General features: G+C 44.2%; 3 pseudogenes, besides 2 other annotated features; 1 reads left to right on the top strand and 2 right to left on the bottom strand.

Annotated features, from left to right (window-relative positions):
* HIGD1AP10 (HIG1 hypoxia inducible domain family member 1A pseudogene 10) lies at positions 8,601-9,646 on the bottom strand (annotated as a pseudogene).
* Positions 11,240-11,426, top strand: RNU2-23P (RNA, U2 small nuclear 23, pseudogene; annotated as a pseudogene).
* Positions 14,407-14,456: an enhancer, noted in NCBI's record as "active region_4948". NCBI's record gives its function as "activates an Ori minimal core promoter by ATAC-STARR-seq in GM12878 lymphoblastoid cells {active_cell/tissue: GM12878}" and the evidence as "EXISTENCE:reporter gene assay evidence [ECO:0000049][PMID:35858748]".
* Positions 16,365-16,544: a silencer, noted in NCBI's record as "silent region_3510". NCBI's record gives its function as "represses an Ori minimal core promoter by ATAC-STARR-seq in GM12878 lymphoblastoid cells {active_cell/tissue: GM12878}" and the evidence as "EXISTENCE:reporter gene assay evidence [ECO:0000049][PMID:35858748]".
* PDCL2P2 (PDCL2 pseudogene 2) lies at positions 23,845-24,033 on the bottom strand (annotated as a pseudogene).

A 25,503-nucleotide genomic window follows, 5' to 3' on the forward strand; every position in this document is an offset into this window, starting at 1 on the left:
CCCACATCCAAACTGGTAATTAAGTCATTTATTCAGTTAGTCTACAAATATGGATCAAGTGTCTCCTGTTCTAGGGACTTAGGATGTCAGTGAACAAAATAAAGATCTCTACCTTTGTGGAGCTTATCCTAGTAGATGTGACAGCAAACCACAGACATAAGTGAAAAATCTAATACGCTGGAAGATGATCAGTGCTATAGGAAAAAAGTAGAACAGAATAAAGGGGATCAGGATGTGGTGGGGTACTTGAAGCTGGTTGCAGTATCAGCGAGGATAATCGGGTAAGCTTCCTTGAGAAGGTGACATTTGAGCAAAGACTTAAAGGAAGTGAGGTTATGAGCCAAGTGGATGTCTGGGTAAAGAGTTACAGCTCAATAAAGGTGGAGCAGTGCTGCTTTGTTGAAGGAGATGAGTGTGGCTATAGTGGAACTAGTGAAGGGTGCGTAGGAAAGAGGCCAGGGCAAGATCGCATTGGCCATCACAGGGACCTTGGCTTTTCCTCTGAGTGACGTGAGAAGTCATTGGAGGGTGCTGAGCAGAGGTGTGACATGCTCTGACTTAGGTGTAATAAAGTCACTCCAGGCTGGGTGTGGTGGCTGACCCTGTAATCCCAGCACTTTGGGATGCCAAGGCGGTTGGATCACGAGGTGAGGAGATCGAGACCATCGTGGCTAACACGGTGAAACCCCGTCTCTGATAAAAAAACACAAAAATTGGCCGAGCTTGGTGGCGGGCGTCTGTAGTCCCAGCTACTCCGGAGGCTGATGCAGGAGAATGGCGTGAACCTGGGAGGCGGAGCTTGCAGTGAGCTGAGATCGTGCCACTGCACTCCAGCCTGGGCAACAGAGCGAGACTCAGTCTCAAAAAAAACTAAAAAAAAAAAAAAAAAAGTCACTCCAGCTCCTGTGTTGGAATAATCTGTAGTGGGGAGGAAGGCAAGTGTGGGAGCAGGGAAACCAGTTAGGAGGCTCTTGCGGTGCAATAGGCAAGAGAGGACATCCTGTGGGTTCTACCTCCTGAGTGTCTCTAGAATTCATTCTTTCCTTGCCATTTTCACTGCCAGTGTCCTAGTCCAGACCATCATCATCTCATGCCTGGGAAAATGCAACAGTCCCCTTTCCTGTGCTTTCCTCCTCATCCGTTTTCCATAGAACGGCCAGAGAGATCTCCTGACACCTGAGCTCACGTCTTGCCTTCCCTCCCACACTCTGCCCTTCAGGCATAATGCCCAGTTGTGGGGTCTCAGGTGTACCATCCCTACCATGCCCCAGGCAGGCCCATCACCTTTTGCATATGTCTTTCCTTCTCCCAGGAACGTCTTTCTCCTCAAATATCACAAAAAGCATTGCCTACTTCCTCAGGCTGGGGTGGAGTGCATGCCATCATGGCAGGCTAATTAAAAAGAATTTTTTTTGTAGCTACAAGGTCTTGCTATCAGGCCCAGGCTGCTTTTGAACTCCTGGGCTCAAGCGATCCTCCTGACTTGGCCTCCCAAAGTATTGGGATTACAGGCATGAGCCACCATGCCTCGACAAAAAGCAGTTGTACTTCTAAGTACTAACAATAAGCAATCAGAAATTGAAAATTTCAAAATACTATTTACATAGCTTCAAAAAATCAAATGTTTGGCCAGTCACGGTGGCTCACGCCTGTAATCCCAGCACTTTGGGAGGCTGAGGCGGGCAGATCACTTGAGGTCAGGAGTTTGAGACCAGCCTGGCCAACACGGTGAAACCCCTTCTCTACTAAAAATACAAAACTAGCCAGGCGTGGCCGGGCGTGGTGGCTCATGCCTATAATCCCAGCACTTTGGGAGGCTGAGGCGGGCGGATCATGAGGTCAAGAGATCGAGACCATCCTTGCTAACACGGTGAAACCCCGTCTCTACTAAAAATACCAAAAAAATTAGCCGGGCATGGTGGCAGGCGCCTGTAGTCCCAGCTACTTGGGAGGCTGAGGCAGGAGAATGGCGTGAATCCAGGAGGCAGAGCTGGCAGTGAGCCGAGACCGCACCACTATACTCCAGCCTCAGTGACAGAGCAAGACTCCATCTCAAAAAACAAAACAAAACAAAACAAAACAAAACAAAACACAAAACTAGCCGGGCGTGGTGGCATGCGCCTGTAATCCCAGCTACTCAGGAGGCTGAGGCAGGAGAATCACTTGAAACCAGAAGACAGAGGTTGCAGCGAGCTGAGATTGCGCCACTGCACTCCAGCCTGGGTGAAAGAATGAAACTCCATCTCAAAAAAAAAAGCAAATGTTTAATAATAAAATATAATCAAAGATGTGCAAGACCTGTACACTGAAAAGTATAAAACATTGCTGAAAGTAAAGATCCAATAAATGGAGAGATATACTATATCCATGGATCAGAGCACTCCATACTCCTATGATGTCAATTTCCCCCAAATTGATTTATAGGGTTAATGCCATTCCAATCAAAATCTCAGTAGGCATTTTTAAAAAATTGATGCTGATTCTAAAATATGTGAAAATTCAAAAGACCTATAATATCCAAGACAACCTTGCAAAGTATAAACAAAGTTGGAGAACTTATACTACCTGATTTTAAGACTTATTATAGGCTGGGCGTAGTGGCTCATGCCTATAATCCCAGCATTTTGGGAGGCTGATGTGGGCGGATCACCTGAGGTCAAGAGTTTGAGACCAGCCTGGCCAACATGGTAAAACCCTGTCTCTACTAAAAATACAAAAATTCGCTGGGCGTGTTGGTGCGCGCCTGTAATGCCAGCTACGCACCTCTAATCCTAGCTACGCGGGAGGGTGAGGCAGAAGAATCACTTGAACCCTGGGGGCAGAGGTTGCAGTGAGCCAAGATCCCACCATTGCACTCTAGCCTGGGTGATAAAATGAGACTCTGTCTCAAAAAAAAAAAATAAAAAAGACTACTATAAAGCTACAGTGATTAAGACAGTGTGGTTTTTGGTGTAAAGATACACATGTAGGTTAGTGAAACAGAATGCAGTCCGGAAATAGAATAACATTTATATTCATTTTCTTTTTTTTTTTTGAGACGGAATCTCGCTCTGTCGCCTAGGCTGGAGTGCAGTGGAACCATCTCCGCTCACTGCAAGCTCCGCCTCCCGAGTTCTCGCCATTCTCCTGCCTCAGCCTCCCGAGTAGCTGGGACTACAGGCGCCCACCACCACGCCTGGCAAATTTTTTGTATTTTTAGTAGAGACGGGGTTTCACCGTATTAGCCAGGATGGTCTCAATCTCCTGACCTCATGATCTGCCTGCCTCGGCCTCCCAAAGTGCTGGAATTACAGGCGTGAGCTACCGCGCCCCGCAATATATTGATTTTCAATATAGGTAACAAGGCAATTCAATGGTGAAAGATGATTTTTCTTTCTTTTTTTTTTTTTTTTTGAGACAGAGTCTTGCTCTGTCACCCAGGCTGGAGTGCAGTGGTGTGATTTTGGCTCACTGAAACCTCCACCTCCTGGGGTTCAAGCATTTCTCCTGCCTCAGCCTCCCAAGTAGCTGGGATTACAGGCGCGTGTCACCACACCCGGCTAATTTTTGTATTTTTAGTAGAAACGGGGTTTCACCATGTTTGTCAGGCTGATCTCGAACTCCTGACCTCAGGTGATTCGCCTGCCTCAGTCTCCCAAATTGCTGGGATTACAGGCATGAGCCACCATGCCCGGCCGAAAGATGATTTTTCAACAAAAGTGCTGAAATAATTGGATATCCATATGAAAACAAAAAACCTCATTCCCTACCTTGCATCGTATACAACACTTAACTTGAAATGAACCGTAGGTCTAAATGTAAAACATAAAACTGTAATATCTCTAGAAGAAAACAAAAAAATCTTAGTAATGTTGGGTTAGGCAAAAATGTCTTAAATAGGATACAAATAGCATAAACTATCAAAGAAACAAATTGATAAATTGGATTTAATCCTAACTAAACACTTTATCTGTTCAAATGACAGTTAAAGGGAGAAAAATTGGGAGAAAATATTTGCCAAGCGTATATCTGACAAAGGACTCATATTGAGAATACATATTATAACTTACTAATAAAAAAATGAAAAGCTAATACAAAATGGGCCAACATTTTGAGCAGACATTTAATCAAAGGTATTCAGATGAGAATAATCCCATAAAATGTGCTCAACACCATCATTATTAGATAAATTCATTGAAAGCAATGCCATACTATTAGTACTAGAATAGTTAAATTAAAAAGATGTCATACAAAGTGGTGGTAATGATGTGGAACACCTAGAATTATCTTAGATTGCAGGTGGGAATACAAAACGGTATAGCCATATTGAAAAAAGGTTCGGTAATTTCTTATAAAGTTAAGTATACATTTACCATATGACCCAGCAATTCCGTTCTTAAGTTACCCAAGATAAATGCAAATATATGTTCATAGAACTAGTGACAGAGAGCATCTCAAGTAGTTGCCAGGGACAGAGGCTAGGGGAGAGGACAGATTGCTCTATGGCACAAGCAAACTTTTTGGATAGTGGAAACATTCTCTATATCATGGTAGTGGTGGTAATTACCTGACTTATACATGTTTGTTAAAGCACACCAAATTGTGTAAGTGACTAATCTTATTGTATGTTAAAACTGGCAAATCTTATTGTATTAACATACAATTATATCTCAGTTAAGTTGACATAAAAGTTGTTGAAAGCAAACTTACATTTTGACCTGGATTTTCCCCTTTCAGGAATCTATCTTGTTGAAGAGCTTGTACATGACCCCAAAGATTTTAAGTCCAAGGATGATTGCCACAGCATTGTTTGAAATAGTGAAACAAGACAATAGAACCACATATCCATTAGGGAGAGAATGGTTAGGTCTGTCTTTTAAATTTTTATTTGTTCGTTTGTTTACTGTATTTTTTGTAGAGTCAGAGTCTTGCCATGTTGCGCAGGCTGGTCTCCAACTCCTGAGCTCAAGCAATCCTCTCAGCCTTGGCAACATAGTGAGACCCCCCTCCTACAAAAAATAAATTATCCAGGTGTGGTGGCTGTAGTCTCAGCTACTCAAGAGGCTGTGGTGGGAGGATTGCTCAAGCCCAGGAGTTCAAGGCTGCAGTGAGCTATGATCCTAAGATCATGCCACTGCACTCCAGCCAGAGTGACAGAGAGAGACCCTATCTCTAAAAGAAAGAAAAAGAAAAGAAAATGGTTAATAAGCACAAAAAAATATGTTAAACATCACTGGTCATTATGGAGATGTAAATCAAAACCATAGAGAGATGATTTCATACCCACTAAAATCATTGTGATAAAAAAAAGACCAACAATAACAAGTGTTGGCAAGATGTGGAGAAATTGGCACCCTTATGTGTTTCTGGTGGGAATGTAAAATAGTGTAAATGCTTTGGAAAACAGTTTGGCAGTTCTTCAGTAAATTAAACATAAAATTACCATATGACCCAGAAATTCTACTTCTAGGTATATGTTCAAGAGAACTGAAAGCATCTGGTCATACAAACACTTGTACAAGAACATTCGTAGCAGCATTATTCATAATAGCCAAAAAGTACAAACAACCCAAATGTCCATGAATGGCTAAACAAAATGTAATGTACCCACACAATGGAGTATTATTTAGCCATAAACAGGAAGGAAGTACTGCTTCATGCTACAACATTGATGAACCTTGAAAACCCTGTGCTCAGTGAAAAAAGCATTCATATCACTGCACTTACGTTACATGTCCAGAATAGACAAGTCCATACAGACAGAAGTAGTTAGTGGTTGCCAAGGGCTGGTGGCGTGAGGAATGGGGCCTGACTGCTAATTGGTATGGGGTTTATTATTTGAGGAGTGATAAAAATGTTCCTGAGGAGATAGTGGCTATGCTTGCACAATTTTGTGAGTATACTAAAAATGACCGAATTGTACACTTTATTTATTTTGAGACACAGTCTCGCTCTGTTGCGAAAGCTGTAGTGCAGTGGCGCGATCATGGCTCACTGCAGCCTGGAACTCCTGGGGTCAAGTGATCCTGCCACCTCAGCCTCCCAAGTGGCTGACATTACAGGCAAATGCCATCATGCCTGGCTAACTTTTTTATTTTTAGTAGAGACAGAGTCTCACTCTGTTGCCCAGGCTGGTTTTGAACTCCTGACCTCAAGTGATCCTTCCGCCTCAACCTCCCAAAATGCTGGGATTCAAATGTGAGCCACCACACCTGGCTGAATTGTACACTTTAAAATAATGAATTGTGGTATGTTAATTACATCAATAAAATAGGTAAGGAAGTAACAAAGACAAAATAGAAATTAAGAAAATAGAGGACAGGCGCAATGGCTCACGCCTGTAATCCCAGCACTTTAGGAGCCTGAGGCAGGCGAATCATGAGATCAGGAGTTTGAGAAGAGCCTGGCCAACATGGTGAAACCCTGTCTCTACTAAAAATACAAAAAATTAGCTGGGCGTGGTGGGGGGGCACCTGTAATCCCATCTACTTGGAAGGCTGAGGCAGGAGAATCACTTGAATCTGGGAGGCAGAGGTTGCAGTGACCTGAGATCGCGCCATTGTACTCCAGCCTGGGCAACAATGCGAGACTCTGTCTAAAAAAAAAAAAAAGAAAAGAAAAAAGAAAATAGATAAAGCTAAAATAGAATACACAAAGTTGAAAGCTGGCTCTTTGAATAAACTAATAAGAATGACAAATCTCCAGAGAGACTGGTCAAGAAAATAAGGTTTGCACAAGCAGACAATATAATGAATGAAAACAGCAATAAACAGACACAGCAGAAATTTAAAAATAATGAGCATGCAGTAGGTGCAATTTTATGGCAATAAATTTGAAAATTTAGGAGAAATAGACAATTTCCTAGAAAATAAAAGATGCACTAAAACTGACCTAAGACACAACAGAAAACATGAATTGATAAGTATTTTAAAATTTTATTTTATTTTTGAGATGGAGTCTTGCTCTGCCGCCCAGGCTGGAGTACAGTGGCGTGACCTCGGCTCACTGTAACCTCCACCTCCTGGGTTCAAGCGATTCTCCTGCCTCAGCCTCCCAAGTAGCTGGGACTACAGGCGCCTGCCACCACACACAGCTAATTTTTTGTATTTTTAGTAGAGACAGGGTTTCACCATGTTGGCCAGGATGGTCACCATGTTGGCCAGGATGGTCTCCATCTCTTGACCTCGTGATCCACCCGCCTCGGCCTCCCAAAGTGCTGGGATTACAGGTGTGAGCCACCATGCCCAGGCTTTTTTTTTTTTTTTTTTTTGAGACAGTGTCTTGCTCTATCACCCAAGCTGCTGGAATGCAGTGGCATGATCAGGGCTCGCTGCAGCCTCAAACTCCTGGGTTCAAGTGATCTTCCCACCTCAGCCCTGCAGAGTAGCTGGGACTACAGGCATGCGCCACTGTGCCTGGCTAATTTTTGTATTTTTTGTAGATATGGGGTTTTGCCATGTTACCCTGGCTGGTCTCAAACTCCTTGGCTCACGCGATCCACCTGCCTTGGCCTTGCAAAGTGTTGAGATTACAGTCATGAGCTGCTGCGTTCGGCTTAAAAGTTTTTCAACATTTTTGACAACAACATCTGGATTCTCACATTCTCCCTCCATGAAAGAGAAAATGAGGAACTATTCTCTCTCTTCCATGGTGGAACACTCCAGGTACTCCCAGCCTGGAAGGCCAGACCCTCCAACTTTCCCTGAATGACCCCCTCACCAAGAAGTGTGCATTGAATGTGGGACTGACCACACATGAGGTCAGTTTGTTGGTCTATCTAGACTGCCTTTGGACTTCCCTTGCCTCTGATCTCATTCCTTTAATTAACAAACATTTACTGAGGGCCTACTGTGTTCAGGCCCCAGGCCAGGTTCTGAGGACATTGTGGAGAACAAAATACATTCCCTGACCTCATGGAGCTTTCAGTCTCATGGTAGAGAGATCCACAAGCTAATTGCAGGTTATTTGACTGTCTGCTGAATGAATGCATTAGTGGAAGAATGAATGAGTAAAAGCTACATTGTCCAAATTCCTGTCCTGTCAGAATTGATGTTGACGTTCTTTTTTTTTTTTTTTTTTGAGATGGTCACTTACTTTAACAACAGTACATATACCATGTTATCACCATGAAATGTAAATTCAGGTTAGACAAGAAAATTTCACAAATGTAATAACATTCTATAGTTTATAAAAGTTTGGGTATACTGTCTGGCCAAACCAGCTTGCTCATAAGTCATTAATCAATTCCATTATAGGTAATTTGATTAGTTTAATGTTTGTAATTCTTATGGAAAAAATAAGCAATGCACACATTTAAAAAGTGCTCATTGGGCTGGGCACGGTAGCTCATGCCCGTAATCCCAGCACTTTGAGTGGCTGAGGCCCAGCGGATCACGAGGTCAAGATCGAGACCATCCTGGACAACATGGCGAAACCCTGTCTTTATTAAAAATATAAAAATTAGCCAAGGATGGTGGTGTGCACCTGTAGTCCCAGCTACTCAGGAGGCTGAGACAGGAGAAGTGCTTGAACCCGGGAGATGGAGGTTGCAGTGAGCTGAGATCACACCACTGCACTCCAGCCTGGTGACAGAGCGTGACTCCGTCTCAAAAAAAATAAAATAAAAGGTGCTCATTTACCTTTGCATGAGTGCTTAAATACATATTTCTATCTCAAGATGACATTTAAAAATTATTCAGATATAACAGCAGCAAAAATATAATTCTGCAATTACAAAATAACTAAACTAGAATCCATAAGTTATTCTCATGTTCACAACTGTGATTCTTTAATAAATACCACTACTATGCAGCTATAATGTAAGCTTTCTAGATTTGGTTTAAACACACACACATAGATACTGTCAGTTGTGGGAAGCTTTACAAGTTTTATTCCATGCACTTTTTAGACAGAGTTCTGAAAGAGCCAGCCAGTCCACAAGACAGGCAGAAAAAAAGTTAAATTAACTAGGGCAAATAGGACTCTTATATAACATCCGAAACATGTGAGATCCTGCAGCAAACTGGGAGTACTTCAGGGTTGGCTTGTTATATCCTTTAGAACTTAAGTTCATCTTCACAATTGAAGAAGGTGGACATTTCAACACCATCTAGTGCATTTAGGTGACATGTTTCTTTTATGCTAACTTGATTTCCTTGAATGACCTAGTTAGTAAACTAGTCACTAGTAATTAAGTCACCAGGCAAATCAAGCCTGCAAGAAAGGAAGCCAATATTCAAAATGCTGTGTTACCATCTAAACCCACTCAAATAGTTTATTTTCCACAATAACACATAACTTCAATAATGAGATGTCTAACTAAAGCAAGCTCCTCCAACAAGACCAAGACAGCATCTCTTCTTCTAGGGCTTAGGTTTTGCCCAGAATTCTCGATACATGGAATAGCCCATACCAATAGTCATTGCTCCTACAACAAAGCCTTGGGCTGCCACACGCATGTGGATCAGATGAAGGGACATTTGCGTATTTCCCCTGCTCTTCAATTTGTATAATCCATATGTAACAAGTGCTGCAAAACCTGCTATTCCAACGGGTACCAATGGTGTCTCTTTAGCTTTACGAATAAGTTTGGATCCCTGAGCTTCGTCATATGAAGAAAGGGAAACATCTGTGTCTGTTGATATAATGACTGCTTGAAGAATCTCCCGGCTGGGCGCGGTGGCTCATTCCTGTAATCCCAGCACTTTGGGAGGCTGAAGCGGGCGGATCACGAGGTCAGGAGATCGAGACCACCCTGGCCAACATGGTGAAACCCCGTCTCCACTAAAAATACAAAAATTAGCTGGGCATGGTGGTGCCGGCCTGTAGTCCCAGCTACTTGGCAGGCTGAAGCAGGAGAATAGCTTGAACCCAGGATGTGGAGGTTGCAGTGAGCCGAGATTGCACCATTGCACTCCAGCCTGGGCGACAGAGCGAGACTCCATCTCAAAAAAAAAAAAAGGAAGAAGAAGAAAACCTCTCACACCTGATGTCAACATTCTTTTAGTTAACATTTAACATGTTTTTCTTGAGTGCCAAGTATGTGACAGATTTAGAGCAAGGGTTTTTACAGGGCATACAATGTAACACCCTGTCTTTCCCTGACCAAGTTTAGTACCATCTGAAAAACAGACACATAGGATAGAGATAAAAATGTTACTTCTGTAACCAATAGAGTTGTTGAGAAAATGCATTTGAAGTCCCTGTACCCGTCCCAGAGCTGCACAGACTTACCCACTCTGCTCCCAAAGGTTTCTCCTTCTTTTGATGTAGGGTAGGCAAGCCCCCAAATTGGGGCTTAGCCCGGGAGGGTTCTTGGCTTTGTCCAGGAAATAATTCCAGGGTGAGCCAGTGCTGTTAGACAGACACTTTTAGTGAAGTGGCAGTGCACAGCAGCAGCAGATGTACTGTTCCTTGCACACCAGGGCTACCCCGAGTAGCAGCTCAGAGGTAGTTCTGCAGTCATATTTATACCCACTTTTAATTATATGCAAATTAAGGAGAAGATTATGCAGAAATTTCTAAAAATAAGGTGGTAACTTCTGAGTCGTTTGGTCATTAACACAGAAAGAGGCAGTAACTTCCAGGTGTTACCATGGCAATGGTAAACTGACATGGCACACTGGTGGGTGTGTCTTATGGAAAGCTGCCTCCACCCCATCCCTGTTTTAGCAAGTCCTCAATTTGGTCTGGTGTCCCAGCCCCACCTCCAGAATTGAGACCTGCCTCCTACCTCACTTTGGGTCCCATACATAGTTGCTTCTAACAACTTCACCAAGAAAACTCTCTTTTCTACTTCTTGGGAGGGGTGAGTGAGAGAAAGTGGGACAAGGCCACTTTTCTGCAGTGTTAGTTACTCCAGAAAAGGTCCACCATGTGGAAACAGATATAATGAGAAATAATCCTTAGTTTGTGTTAATCAAACCCAGTCAGTTATCCAACCAGTCAATTCCTCAATCCAAGCAGCATGAAACTGCACTCCTAGTTAGGTTTGTGGATTATAAATGCTCATAAATTCCTTATCCCGTCCCTCATGGAAAGGTGGGGTTTACTTCTCCACCCCCTTAATTCTGGACTTGGCCTATGACTTGCTTTGAACCAGTAGAATATGGTGGAAATGAAGCTGTGCCCAATTCTGGGCTTACCCTTTAAAACAGAACTGGCAGCTTCTGTTTTCTTCTCTTGGAATTCAGCCACCATGCTGTGAGGAAGCCCAAGCAGTCCTGTGGGGAGGCCCATGTAGAGGAGAATCAAAGCTCCATTCTCAGCCTTTTGGGTAAGATCAAGTGTAGTATCTGTTCTTATCAGTTTAATATCTGATATGTCCTCTATTCGAGGACACAATCTATATTAAATAGATTTTTGGAACTAAGAGATGGAATAGGAGCTTGCCCCACCCACTCCACACATTTACCTAGCATTGCAGTACCTCCAGGAACAGTGTACCCCTAAAGGGAGATAAAGTTTAAAAATGAAAAAAATAGGGAATAAAAAGCTCTAGCCCTACCATCCAATTGGCTGGGGGAATTTAAATAAATAAATAAATAAATAAATAAATAAATAAATAAATAGCTCTAGCCAGCATCAACTTGCCAGCCATTGGAGTGCACCATCTTTGAAGGGTCCTCCAGCTCCAAGGATGGAGCTGGAGGCACAAGAAGAGCTGTCTCAACCAGGCCTTGCCCAAATTGCATAATGGTAAGAAAATAAATGATTGGTATTGTCATAAGCCTCTAGGTTTGAGAGTGGCTTGTTTCACAGCCCTAATCTAATTTGACTCCCTGTTCTTGGCCCCAGACCCAGGGCCTGCCACAGAATAAGAACTCAGGGAGTGTTGAAGAAGTGAGTCAACAAATGATTGGGCTGAGCGTGGTGGCTCACGCCTGTAATCCCAGCACTTTGGGAGGCCGAGGCAGGTGGATCATCTGAGTGAGGTCAGGAGTTCAAGACCAGCCTGGCCAACAGGATGAAACCCCATATCTACTAGAAATATAAAAATTAGCCAGGTATGGTGATGCGTGCCTGTAATCCCAGCTACTCAGGAGGCTGAGGCAGAAGAATCACTTGAACCCAGGAAGTCGAGGTTGCAGTGAGCCAAGATAGCGCCACTGCACTCCAGCCTGGCTGACAGAGTTAGACTCTGTCTCAAAAAAAAAAAAAAAAAAAAAAAAAAAAAAAAAAAAAAAAAAAAAAAAAGACTGGATTGGCTAAGTGGATGATGGATGATTGAATGGTTGGATAAGTGAATTGTGTTAAGCCTGACAGGTCTAGAGTGATGAGCTGTGGCAGAATCAGGGGCTCAGAGTCCAGTAGCTTCAAGGAGGATGAGAAGCCATCTCTGCTGGAATTGTTATAAATAATTTCCTGGGAAGGGTCCCTGGCAGATCTACTTGGAGTGGCATTGTCACAGGCAGTGCATACTCAGCTGCTCAGGTGAGACACTAACTGCAAGCCCAGAATCTGGAAAGCTCCACAGTGCAGTGGGCCCAGCCTTACTATCCCTGCTGGAACCACACCAGCAGAAGGAGTGCCCGAGGGCTGCTACCTGTCTCCCTCGACTCCACTTAGTTCCAAATGTAAGTCTCACATGATTGAAACTGTGGAAGGAGGCTGGGTGCGGTTGCTCTCACCTATAATCCCTGCACTTTGGGAGGCCAAGGGGGCGGATCACCTGAAGTCGGGAGTTCAAGACCAGCCTGACCAACATGAAGAAACCCCATCTTTACTAAAAATAAAAAACTAGCCAGGCATGGTGGCACATGCCTGTAATCCCAGCTACTTGGGGGGCTGAGGCAGGAGAATCACTTGAACCCAGGAGACAGAGATTGCAGTGAGCCGAGATCACACCACTGCACCCCAGCCTGGGGAGCAAGAGTGAAACTCAGTCTTTTAAAAAAAAAAAAAAAACCAGAAGGAATATATGTAACTCAAGTTTTGTGTGGTTTTTTTTTTTTTTTTTTTTTTTTTTTTTTTTTTTTTTTTACCGTTCCAGCCTCTGTGGTCCAGGCAGCCAGCTGGGAGAAGGCTGAGACAGATGCTCAGTGACAAGTGTGAGCTTGCTAATCTGACAAAGGCCTTTCTAAGGGGGCATTTGGATTTCTGCATGATATGCTTCCAGCCTGCCTCCTAACCCCACCAAATCCTCATCATGCACTTTGTTATTTATTTATTTTTGAGACGGAGTCTCACTCTTGTCGACCACGCTAGAGTGCAGTGGTGTGATCTCGACTTACAACAACTTCCGCCTCCTGGGTTTAAGCAATTCTCCTGCCTCAGCCTCCTGAGTAGCTGGGATTACAGGCACCTGCCACCATGCCCAGTTAATTTTTGTATTTTTAGTAGAGATGGGATTTCATATGTTGGCCAGGCTGGTCTCGAACTCCTGACCTCAGGTGATCCACCCACCTCAGCCTCCCAAAGTCTGGGACTACAGGCATGAGCCACCTTACCCGGCCCTCATCATGCACTTTGTATTGTGGTCAAACTTAACTTGTCTCATTCCCCAAACTCTGCTTGCCTCTTCAGCCTAGCTATCTTCACTTTTGCTCAAACCTATATAAAGTAGCATGCTTTTCCCTTTCTTCTTTGTCTGGAAAATTCTTAGTGCACACCCTTACACATTTCCAGCATCAGCCATGAACCTGAGTGAGTCTCTCCCCACCACATGGTGCCTACAGCATTTGTCCCTGTGTGAACACAGCCCCTATGACCCTGCATTGTAATCACTTCTGTGTCTGTGACATCCTTCAGGGCAGGGCTGAGAATAATAAATGTTGGGCAGTTACAGTTTTAACCTTTATGTCAATCCTGAGTCAGGTACTATTATCATATCGGTTTCATAGATGAAGAAACTGAGGCTCAGAGAGATTAAGTAACTTGCCTGAGGTTTGCCCAACTAATAGGGAAAGACAAAGTCAAGATTTAAGCCCAGGTCGGGTGCGGTGCCTCACGCCTGTAATCCCGGCACTTTGAGAGGGCAAGGGTGGGGGGATCACCTGAGGTCGGGAGTTCGAGACCAGCCTGGGCAACATGGTGAAATCCCATCTCTACTAAAAATACAAAAATTAGCCAGGCATTGGGGGTGGGTGCCTGTAGTCCCAGCTACTCGGAAGGCTGAGGCATGAGAATTGCTTGAATCCAGGAGACGGAGGTTGCAGTGAGCCAAGACTGCGCTACTGCACTCCAGCCTGGGTGACGGAGCGAGATTCCTTCTCAAAAAAAAAAAAAAAAAAGACTTAAGCCCAGACAGGGTGGCCCCATGGCCCTTCTCTCAACCCCCGCGCTTTGTAACAGGTCCATTTTCTCATCCCCATGGCAACTAGTCATTTTATTACTGAGAAAACAGATATTCTTGAGGTTACAGAAAGGAAGAAAAATAAGAAAAGAAAACAGATGTTCGAAGAGGCTAAGAAAGTCAGCCAGAGTCACCCTGCTGGCGTGTGGCCGGGAGGCACTCTATCTACTTCTCTGACACTGCGCTGCACCTCCAGTGAGGGCCTGTGGTGACTTCTTCCTCCTATTGAAGCAGTGTCTCGGGGCTGAGTCATTCCCAACAGTTTCTGTGCAAAGCCAGGGAACAGCCACCTCAGGCCCCTTGGCAGGCTGCCACCCTAGGCAGTTGTCTCGAGTCTGGGTGTCCTCGGAGGGCAGAGCAGGGACAGGAGGCTGATGTCCCCTCCCTCTGCCAGGGCACGGGCAGCCAGGCAGTGAGGCCACATTAGGACTCAATTCAGGCTGGCCTGAGCATCTGAGAAAGGGAAGTAGGATAGAGGGGCAGGCTGGGGACAGATCCATGGGCAACATGGATCACCCAAGACTAGTACAAAGAAAGGGGCTGGGGCACTAAGGTACAGATTGGGCAATCAGCACACAGTATGTGCCAGGTGCAGGGCTGGGTGCTGGGATTCCAGGGTGAGCAAAAAGACACCTACCCTCATGAGACTCCTGCCCAGTGCAGGAAATTCAGGGCACATACCTTTTCTCCTACCGCTCACACCTGCTCCTCCTGCCTCCTCATTTTTCCTTCCAGCTAGAATGGGTGGAGTTTCCCTCTTCCCATTCATTCACTCTATTATTCACCCAAGTATTTATCCAGTGCCCACCTTGAACCAGGTCTTGTTCTAAGTGTCATGAATGTATTAGCAAATGAAATAGAAAAAAGTCCCTTCCCTTATGAAGCTTACAGAATACTAAAGACAAAAAATAAACCAGGAAGCACGTAGAGAAGTGTAGAGAAGTGATGACTTTGAGAAATCAAGAAGGAAGAGGAGTCGAGCAGAAGAGGAGGACCCAGAAGCTTTGAAAGGAAGAGAGAGGTTGGGCATGGTGGCTCATGCCTATGATTCTAGCACTTTGGGAGGCTGAGGTGGGAGGATCACCTGATCCCAGGAGTTTGAGACCAGCCTGGGCAACATAGTGAGACCCTATCTGTATAAAAAAATAAAAATAAAAAAGAAAGGAGGAGAAAGATGGCTGTTCCATTCTAGTAGGAGAGGAGGCAGAGAAAGTGTGTACAGGTGCAGATTCAGGTAAAATAGAGGAGAAGAAAAAGGGAAAGAGGCTGGGCGCAGTGGCTCACACCTGTAATCCCAGCATTTTGGGAGGCCAAGGGGGGTAGATTGCTTGAGCCCAGGAGTTCAAGACCAGCCTGGGCAACATGGCGAAACCCTGTCTCTACAAAAAATTAGCTGGGCTTGGTGGCACGCACCTGTGGTCCAAGTTATTCAGGAGGCTGAGGTGGGAGGATGGCTTGAGCCCAGGAGGCAGAGGTTGCAGTGAGCAGAGATCAAGCCACTGCACTAAACAGCCTCGGTGACAGTGAAACCCTGTCTCAAAGCAAAGAAAGAAAAAGAAAAAGGGAAAGAAGTCATGTTGGAGCTTTGCAGAGAGAGGAGAGGGTGTGATTAGTTACCTCAGAAAGTGGAAATGTGATTCTGAATGACATTTTTGTAAGAAAAAAAGTGGAAATGCGAAGTTTCTAGACATCTGCAGTGTGATTGCCAGGGAACATGAATGGCCAAGGAGTTTTGTAGCTGAGTTGAAAGTGAAACAATCCTCTGGCTGTCTGATTTCCTCTTATTCCAGTACAGGCACCAAGTAGGATGGTTCAACCAGGGCTTGAGTCTCCCAGGTGAGGTGGTTTTAGGAATGTCCATGCATTCTAGATGCTCCTCCTTTCTTTCTCTCTCTCTTTCTTTCTCTCTCTCTTTCTTTCTTTCTTTCTTTCTTTCTTTTTTAGACAGAGTCTCGCTCTGTCACCCAGGCTGGAGTGCAGTGGCACGATCTCGGCTCACTGCAACCTCTGCCTCCCAGATTCAAGTGATTCTCCTGCCTCAGCCTCCTGAGTAGCTAGGATTACAGGTGCGTGCCACCATGCCTGGCTGATTTTTGTATTTTTAGTAGAGATGGGGTTTCACCATGTTGGTCAGGCTGGTCTTGAACTCCTGACCTCATGATCTGCCCGCCTTGGCCTCCCAAAGTGTTGGGATTACAGGTGTGAGCCACCGCGCCTGGCCTGATACTCCTCCTTTCAAGACATGGAACCTCGCTCCCCTCCCGCGAATGTAAACTGGACTTAGTGACTCACTTCTAAAGAATAGAATCAATGAAAGTGATGGTGAGAGACCTAGGAGAGCTGGCACAAACACACTTTGGCTTCCTGTCTGCACTGTCTCTTGGATCTCTTGCTCTGGGGAAGCCAGCTGCCATGTCATGAGACACTCAGCAGCCCTGTGGACAGGTTCACATGGTGAGGAACTGAGGCCCCCCAGCCAATAGCCGTGTAAGTGAACCACCTGGGAAGGCGATCCTCCAGCCCCACACAAACCCTCAGAAGACGGTAGCCCTGGCCAGTATCTTGACTGCAAACCTCACGAGAGACTGTGAGGCAGAACCTCCAAGTTAATGCTCCCACATTCCTGATCTACAGAAACTGTGAGATAATACATTTTTTTTTTCATTTAAACCACAAAGTGTGGGGTAATTTTTATTTATTTAGGGCAAAGCTGACACATTCCAGATAAGGCTCCCAAACTCGAGATGCTCTCTCAACAACTGGCCCAAAGGACTTTCTGCGCAGCCACTGCCTCTCCTGCTGCTCCTTGCCTCAAGTCCCCTACTACATGGTGTGATATGCACTTGTGGGGTCTAGTTCACTGCACATGGCAAGATGCACTCTCTGCAATCCTTGAGATTGTTCAATTTTCTCCTGTAATCTGTTAAGGGGGCAAATCAGATTCATCAGTTTTCTCATCTCTAACCTTGCATTTTTAGAATAAATCCAGCTTTGGCACACTGCGTTCTCTTCCTATATATTACCAAATTCATTTTGCTAATAATTTGCTTAGGATTTTTCCATCTGTGTTTATGAGCCTGCAGTATTTCTTTCTCATGCAGTCTCCATTAGGTTTTCATGTCAAGAACACTACCCTTGTGACATGTGGAGGGGAGGTCCTTCTTTTCTTCAATACTCTGGAAGAATTTATACAAGATAGAATTATTTGTTTTTTCAATGTTTGGTTAATCTTACTGGTGGAGCCATATAGGCCTGGAGTTTTCTTTGTGGTAAGACTTTGTCTACTTATTCAATTTGTTTAATGTTATAGGACTAATCAGGGTTTCTATTTCTATTTGTTTTAGTTTTGGTACACTATATTTTTCTATAAGGTCTTGTTCATTTTTATATACATCTAAATATAAAAGGGCTCTTCAAAAAGCTCATGGAAAATGCATCTTATGAAAAAACAATGCATGAATTTCAAAAATTTTTGGTACCAAAATAAACTCATACTAACTTGTTATAACATGTCTGGGGCCGGGTGTGGTGGCTCACGCCTGTAATCCCAACAGTTTGAGAGGCCAAGGTGGAAGGATCACTTAAGCCCAGGAGTTCAAGACCAGCCTGGTGGACAAAGTGAGACCCTGTCTCTATTACAAATTTAAATTTTTTCTTTTTTCTTTTTGAGACGGAGTCTCGCTCTGTTGCCCAGGCTGGAGTGCAGTGGTGCGATCTCGGCTCATTGCAAGCTCCACCTCCTGGGTTCACACCATTCTCCTGCCTCAGCCTCCCAAGTAGCTGGGACTACAGGCGCCCACCACCACGTCTGGCTAATTTTTTATATTTTTAGTAGAGACAGGGTTTCACTGTGTTGGCCAGGATGGTGTCGGTCTCCTGACCTCGTGATCCGCCCGCCTTGGCCTCCTAAAGTGCTGGGATTACAGGCGTGAGCCACCGCTCCTGGCCTGGAAAAAAAAAAAAATCTTTAAAGGGCACCTATTTTTCTTTTCTTTTTTTTTTTTTTTCTGAGATGGAGTCTCGCTCCATCACGCATGCTGGAATGCCGCGGCACGATCTTGGCTCACTGCAACCTCTGCCTCCCCAGTTCAGGTGATTCTCCTTCCTTAGCCTCCTGAATAGCTGGGACTACAGGCACACGCCACCACACCCGGCTAATATTTTGCATTTTTAGTAGAGATGGGGTTTCACCATGTTGGCCAGGCTGGTCTTGAACTCCTGACCTCAAGTGATCCTCCCCCCCTTGGCCTTCCAAAGTGCCGGGATTACAGGTGTGACCCATCATGCCCAGCCGAGGGCACCCATTTTTCTTTAGTTAATATAAAAAAACTGTGTTGACATGGTTAAATTCCCAGGATCCTCATTTCTAAAGAGATGGACCCAATGATACCATTGCTCACAAAAGTGTCTTAATCTTGTTGGAGGTTATGTTGAGAATCAAAGTTTATTTATTTTTATTTTTATTTTATTTTTATTTATTTATTTATTTTTTTGAGACGGAGTCTCACTCTGTCACCCAGGCTGGAGTGCAGTGGCACCATCTCAGCTCACTGGAACCTCTGTCCTCTGAGTTCAAGCAATTCTCCTGCCTCAGCCTCCTGAGTAGCTGGGATTACAGGCGCCTGCCACTGTGCCCAGCTAATTTTTATATTTTTAGTATATAAAACTATATATATAGTTTTGGCCAGGCTGGTCTTGAGCTCCTGACCTTGTGATCCACCCGCCTCGGCTTCCCAAAGTGCTAGGATTACAGGCGTGAGCCACTGCGCCCGGCCTATATTTTTTTATTTTTATCTTTTAATTCAATTTTTCTACAAACTTTTTGAATATACAGGTTGAGTATCCCTCATCTGAAATGCTTGGGACCAGATATGTTTCAGATTTTTTTTTTGAATGCTTGCATATATAATGAGATTTCTTGGGAATGAACCCAAGTCTAAACACAAAATTCATTTATGTTTCATATACACCTTATACACATAGCCTGAAGGTAATTTTATATATGTCATGTCAGTGCTTAAAAAGTTTGGATTTTGGAGCAGTTTAGATTTTAGATTTTCAGATTAGGGGTGTTTGACTTGTATTAAATTAATATGTATTCCTTACATAAAATATAAATATAAAACTTGGCAGGCCGGGCATGGTGGCTCACCCTTGTAATCCCAGCACTTTGGGAGGCTGAGGTGGGCGGATCATGAGGTCAGGAGATCCAGACCATCCTGGCTAACACAGTGAAACCCCATCTCTACTAAAAATAAAATACAAAAAAATTTGCTGGGTGTCGTGGTGTGTGCCTGTAGTCCCAGCTACTTGGGAGGCTGAGGCAGGAGAATGGCGTGAACCCAGGAGGCGGAGCTTGCAGTGAGCCGAGATCGCACCACTGCACTCCAGCCTGGGCAACAGAGCGAGACTCCATCTCAAAAGATAAAAAATTAAAAAAAATTAAAGTTGGCATAAAGTTGTTCATGATATACTCATATTTTTATTATCTAACATCTAAAAAGGAGTTATATATCCTTTTTCATTCTTGTTACTATTAATTTGTGCTTTCTCTTTTAAAAATTATTCTGAATCAATCTTGCCAGAGGTTTGTCAGTTTTATTGGTTTATCAAAGAACCAAATTTTGACTTTTCTAATTCCATTGTGTTTTCAATTTTGTTAATTTCTGTTCTCATCTTTATTATTTAATTCCTTCTACTTTCATTAGGTATATTTTGCCATTCTTTTTTTAAAAGATATTTATTTTGAAATAAGTTTAGGCTTAATAAAAAGTTGCAAAAACAGTGCAGAGAGTTCCTGTATAGTTTCCACCACACTTCTCTTAATGCTAACATCTTACACAACCATATGACAGTTATTGAAACCAGGAAATTGAGAATTGATATAATATTATTAGCTAACTTTACAGACCTTATTTATTTATTTATTTATTATTTTGAGACAGAGTCCTGCTCTGTTGCCCAGTGCAGTGCGTGATCTCGGCTCACTGCAACCTCCGCCTCCTGGGTTCAAGGAATTCTCCTGTCTCAGCCTCCCAAGTTGCTGGGACTACAGGCACATGCCACCACACCCAGCTAATTTTTTTTGTATGTTTAGTAGAGATGGGGTTTCACCATATTGGTCAGGCTGGTCTTGAACTCCTGACCTCAGGTAATCCACCCGCCTCAGCCTCCCAAAGTGCTAGGATTACAGGCGTGAGCCACCGTGCCTGGCCCAGACCTTATTTTAATTGTGTCAGTGGTCCCACTAATGTCCTTTTCCTGGTCTAGATTCCAATCCAGGATTCTGGATTTTGTGTAATTGCTCTATTGGTCATTCATTCTTGTGTAACAATTACCCCAAAATGTAGCAGCTTCAAACAACAAACATTTCTTATCTCCTGGTTTCTGTGGGTTGGGAATTTGGGAGCTGCTTAGCTGGGTCTGTCAGGGTCTCTGACTAGGTAGCAGTCATGAGGCCAGCCAGGCTGGGGTCATCTGAAGGCTTCACTAGGACTAGATCTGCTTTCAAGATGGTGCCCCAAGGCTGGGCGCAGTGGTTCACGCCTGAAATTCCAGAACTACTGGAGGCCTAAGTGGGCAGATCACTTGAGGCCAGGAGTTCGAGATCAGCCTGGCCAACATTGTGAAACCCTGTCTCTGCTAAAAATACAAAAGTTATCCAGGCATGGTGGTGCACACCTGTAATCCCAGCTACTGGGGAGGCTGAGGCAGGAGAATTGCTTGCACCTGGGAGGTGGAGGTTACTGTGGGCTGAGATTGTGCCATTGCACTCCAGCCAGGGCAACAGAGACTCTTGTCTCAAAAAAAAAAAAAAAAAGGCAAAATGGTGCCCCACACAGCAGCAGGAGCTTCAGTGTCTTGCCAGGCGGGCTTCTCCACAGTGTTGCCTAAATGGCCTTATGACAGGAAGCTGGCTTTTCCCAGAGAACGTAGCAGATTTCTCAGAGAAAGTAAGGAAGCTGCAAACTTTTTGATGGCCTAGCCTCAGAAACCACACTGCAGCGTTTCCACCATATCCTATTGGTGTACAGGTCAACCCAATTACATGAATCCCAGGCTGATTCAGGGGCCACCTTGGAGGCTGTCTGCCACAGGCATCATGTCTCCTTAGTCTCTTCCACTCTGGGACAACTTCTCAGGTTTCTTTCTTTCTTTTTTCTGAGACAGGGTCTCACTCTGTTGCCCATCCTGGAGTGCAGTGGCCTGATCACAGCTCACTGCAGCCTCAACCTCCCTGGGCTCAGGCGATCCTCCTACCTCAGCCTCCCAAGTAACTGGGACTACAGGCACGTGCCACAACACTTGGCTAATTTTTTAATTTTTTATAGAGATGGGGTTTCGCTATGTTGTCCAGGAGTCCAGGCTGGTCTCAAACTCCTGGGTTCAAGCGATCCGCCTGCCTCGCCCTCCCAAAATCCTGGGTTTGGAGGCGTGAGCCCCTGCACCTGGCCTCTGGTTTCTTCTTCTTCCACGTATTTGTCACTTTTGAAGAGTACCGGCTAATTAATTCGTGGAACATCCCTCAATTATTTTGTGTTTATGTGATGTTTGTAATGTTTAGTCTGAAGTTATTCATTTTCGACAAGAATACCAGGGCAGTGAATTGTGCCGTTCTCAGAGCCTCATAGTACCTGGCACATGATGTTGACATGCCTTATAATACTGGTGATACTAACTTTGATCATGTGGTATCTCCCAGGTTTCTCCACTGTCAATTTAGTCTTTTCCCCTTTATTTTAGTCTGTTTCTGCTGCTATAACAAAATACCCAAGGTTGGGTCATTTATAAACAATAGAAGCTTTTTTTTTTTTTTTTTTTTTTTGAGATGGAGTTTTGCTCTTGTTGCCCAGGCTGGAGTGCAATGGCACAATCTCAGCTCACTGCAATCTCCACCTCCTGGGTTCAAGCGATTCTCCTGCCTCAGCTTCCCAAGTAGCTGGGATTACAGGCGTGTGCCACCACGCCTGGCTAATTTTTGTATTTTTGGTAGAGACAGGGTTTCACCACGTTGGCCAGTCTGCTCTCGAACTCCTGACCTCATAATCCGCCCGCCTCAGCCTCCCAAAGTGCTGGGATTACAGGCGTGAGCCACTGCACCCGGCAGCAATAGAAACTTATTTGTCACAGTTCTGGAGGCTTGAGATCCACGATCAAGGTGCTGGCATGTTTGGTTTCTGGTGGGGGCTGCTCTCTGCTTCTAAGATGGCACCTTGTTGCTGCATCCTCCAAAGGGGACAAACTCTGTGTCCTCACAAAGCAGAGGAACAGAAGGGCAAAAAAAGGGGCAGAACAATGCATGAAGCCTCTTTTATAAGAGGTTTATCCCATTAGCCATGCATGGTGGTACACGCCTGTGGTCCCAGCTACTTGGGAGGCTGAGGTAGGAGGATCTCTTGATCCCGGGATGGGGAGGTTGCAGTAAGCAGAGATTGCTCCACTTCACTCCAGCCTGGAAGACAGAGCAAGACCTTGTCTCAAAAAAAAAAAAAATAAAAAATAAGGCCCCACATCTTGATACTATCACATGGGCAATTAGTTTCAAAATGAATTTTGGAGGAGACAGAAACATAAACATTCAAACCATAGCACCGTTTGTGATTAGTAAACGTTGTGAGGTGCACCTTGAGTGTATGCAAATATCTTCTTTCGCATCATACTTTCACCCACTAATTTTAGCATCCACCAATGAATGATTGGGGCCTGCAACAATTATTACTGCGGTGTTTGTCTAGTGGTGATTTTCTATTTCCATTACTTCTCCTACATTTATTTAAATTCTACTGTGCAGAGGAGTTGTCACTTCTCTCTCAGTTATTTACATATATCAGTATAAACTCATGGATAGTTATTTTATCCTGTGGGTAATAATTTATTGCTATCATTACTTATTTTGTTGCTCAAATTATCCCAGATTTGGCCCTTGGGAGCTCCTTCAAGTTGACTCTTGTGTCCTTTTGAAGTGTCTCCATGACTTTGTGAGAGTACTTCCTTACTTTCTGTCACTACATGATGTTCCAGACTCATATTATCTCTGCCCCAGCCCTGAAATGAACTATTTCTCCAAAGAGTCTAGATTCCTTTTATTACAGAATGGAATTTTTTTTTTTTTGACTGAATCTCTCTCTGTTGCCCAGGCTGGAGTGCAGTGGTGCAATCTCGGCTCACTGCAACCTCCGCCTCCCAGGTTCAAGCAATTCTCATGCCTCAGCTTCCCCAGTAGCTAGGATTACAGGCAAGCACCACCAAGCCTGGCTAATTTTTTGTTTGTTTGTTTGTTTTGAGACCAAGTTTCTTCGCTCTTGTTGCCCAGGCTGCAGTGCGATGGCGTGATCTCAGCTCACCGCAACCTCCGCCTCCCAGTTTCAAATGATTCTCCTGCCTCAGCCTCCCAAGTAGCTGGGCTTACAGGCATGCGCCACCATGCCCGTCTAATTTTTGTATTTTTAGTAGAGACGGAGTTTTGCCATGTTGGCCAGGCTAGTCTCGAACTCCTGACCTCAGGTGATCCACCTGCCTCAGCTTCCTAAAATGCTAGGATTACAGGTGTGAGCCACTGTGCCCGGCCGGTAGGTAACTTCTTGAACATAATCCTTTCCTGAGATCATCAAAACTTCTCCAAATTTATTATTCAGTTTAGTTGCTTTCCACTCAGCCAGTCTCTGCTGTCTGTACATTTCAATGGCATGTTCATCCTCCTCATCAAATTCGTCTACATGATCCTCCAGCTCTTCCAAATTCATATCTTCATATGTTTTCACTCCACACAACAATAAGGGTATGAATGAGAAGTTTCTCGAGTTTACAAAACAAGAGTTTTATCTGCCTGACGTCACCTGGTTCAGCCCTCAGGTAAACTCCTGGGCTGGATGTTATCAACAGTTCCCATACCATCCAAGGAGACACAGGATCAATCTTCCAGGGTGTTTGCTTTTTGTCTCTGGCCAGGGCTACTGTCTTCTGATGGCTTGTGTGGGGCTGGAGGATCCCCTTCCCAGGCGGCTCATTTACATGGCTGTTGGCTGTTGGAGTAACAGAAGGTATGAAGAGAGAGAGGAAGGCAGAGAAGTATTTGGAGAAATATGAAATAAAAATGAGAAAGCATACGAAAAGATGCTCAATGTCATATGACATTAGGGAATTGCAAATCAAAGCAACAGTGAGGTGCCACTGCACATCTATCAAAACAGTTAAAATGCAAAATACTGGCAACACCAAGTGCTGATGAGGATGTGGAGCAACAGCAACCTTCATTCATTGCTGGTGAAAATGCAAAATTGTACACTCACTTTGCAAGACGATTTGGCAGCTTCATATGACATGAAATAGATTATCACCATATGATCCAGCAATTGCTAGATCGTAGATATTTACCCAATTGAGTTGAAAATTCATAGATATTTATCTAATTGAGTTGAAAACTTATGTCTACCTCCAAACCCCTGCACAAATATGTATAATAGCTTTTTCATACTCTCCCCAAACAGGAAGCAACCAAAATGTCCTTCAATAGAAGAGTGGATAATAAAACTGTGGTATATCCATACAATAGGATATTATTCAGTGGTGAAAATCATAAGTTATTTTGATGATTAATTTTATGTGTTTATTTGGCTGGGCCACAGTGCCCACATTTGTGGTCAAACATTATTCTGGATGCTGTGGTGATGGCGGTTTTGGATAAGAGTGACATTTAAATTGGTCAACTTGGAGTAAAGCAGATTGCCTTCCATAATGTTGGAGGACTCTGTTCAATCAGTTGAGGTTCTGAATAGAAGAAAAGACTGACCTCAGCCGGGCGCGGTGGCTCACGCCTGTAATCCCAGCACTTTGGGAGGCCAAGGCGGGCAGATCATGCGATCAAGAGATTGAGACCATCCTGGCCAACATAGTGAAACCCCGTCTCTACTAAAAAAAAAATACAAAAATTAGCGGGGCATGGTGGCGCATACCTGTAATCCCAGCTACTCCGGAGGCTGAGGCAGGAGAACGGCTTGAACCTGGGAGTCGGAGCTTGCAGTGAGCTGAGATTGCGCCACTGCACTCCAGCCTGGCGAGAGAGCGAGACTCCGTCTCAAAAAAAAAAAAGAAAAGAAAAGAAAAGAAAAAAAGACCTCCTCCAAGCAAGAGAGAATTCTGCCAGCAGAGGCCTTTGAACTTGAACTGTAACATCAGCAGGGTCTTCAGTCTGACAGCCTTCACGTGTCCCTATTTTATTTATTTATTTATTC

This window comes from Homo sapiens, chromosome 11, assembly GCF_000001405.40.
Source record: "Homo sapiens chromosome 11, GRCh38.p14 Primary Assembly".
In the NCBI taxonomy this organism is placed as follows: Eukaryota; Metazoa; Chordata; class Mammalia; order Primates; family Hominidae; genus Homo; species Homo sapiens.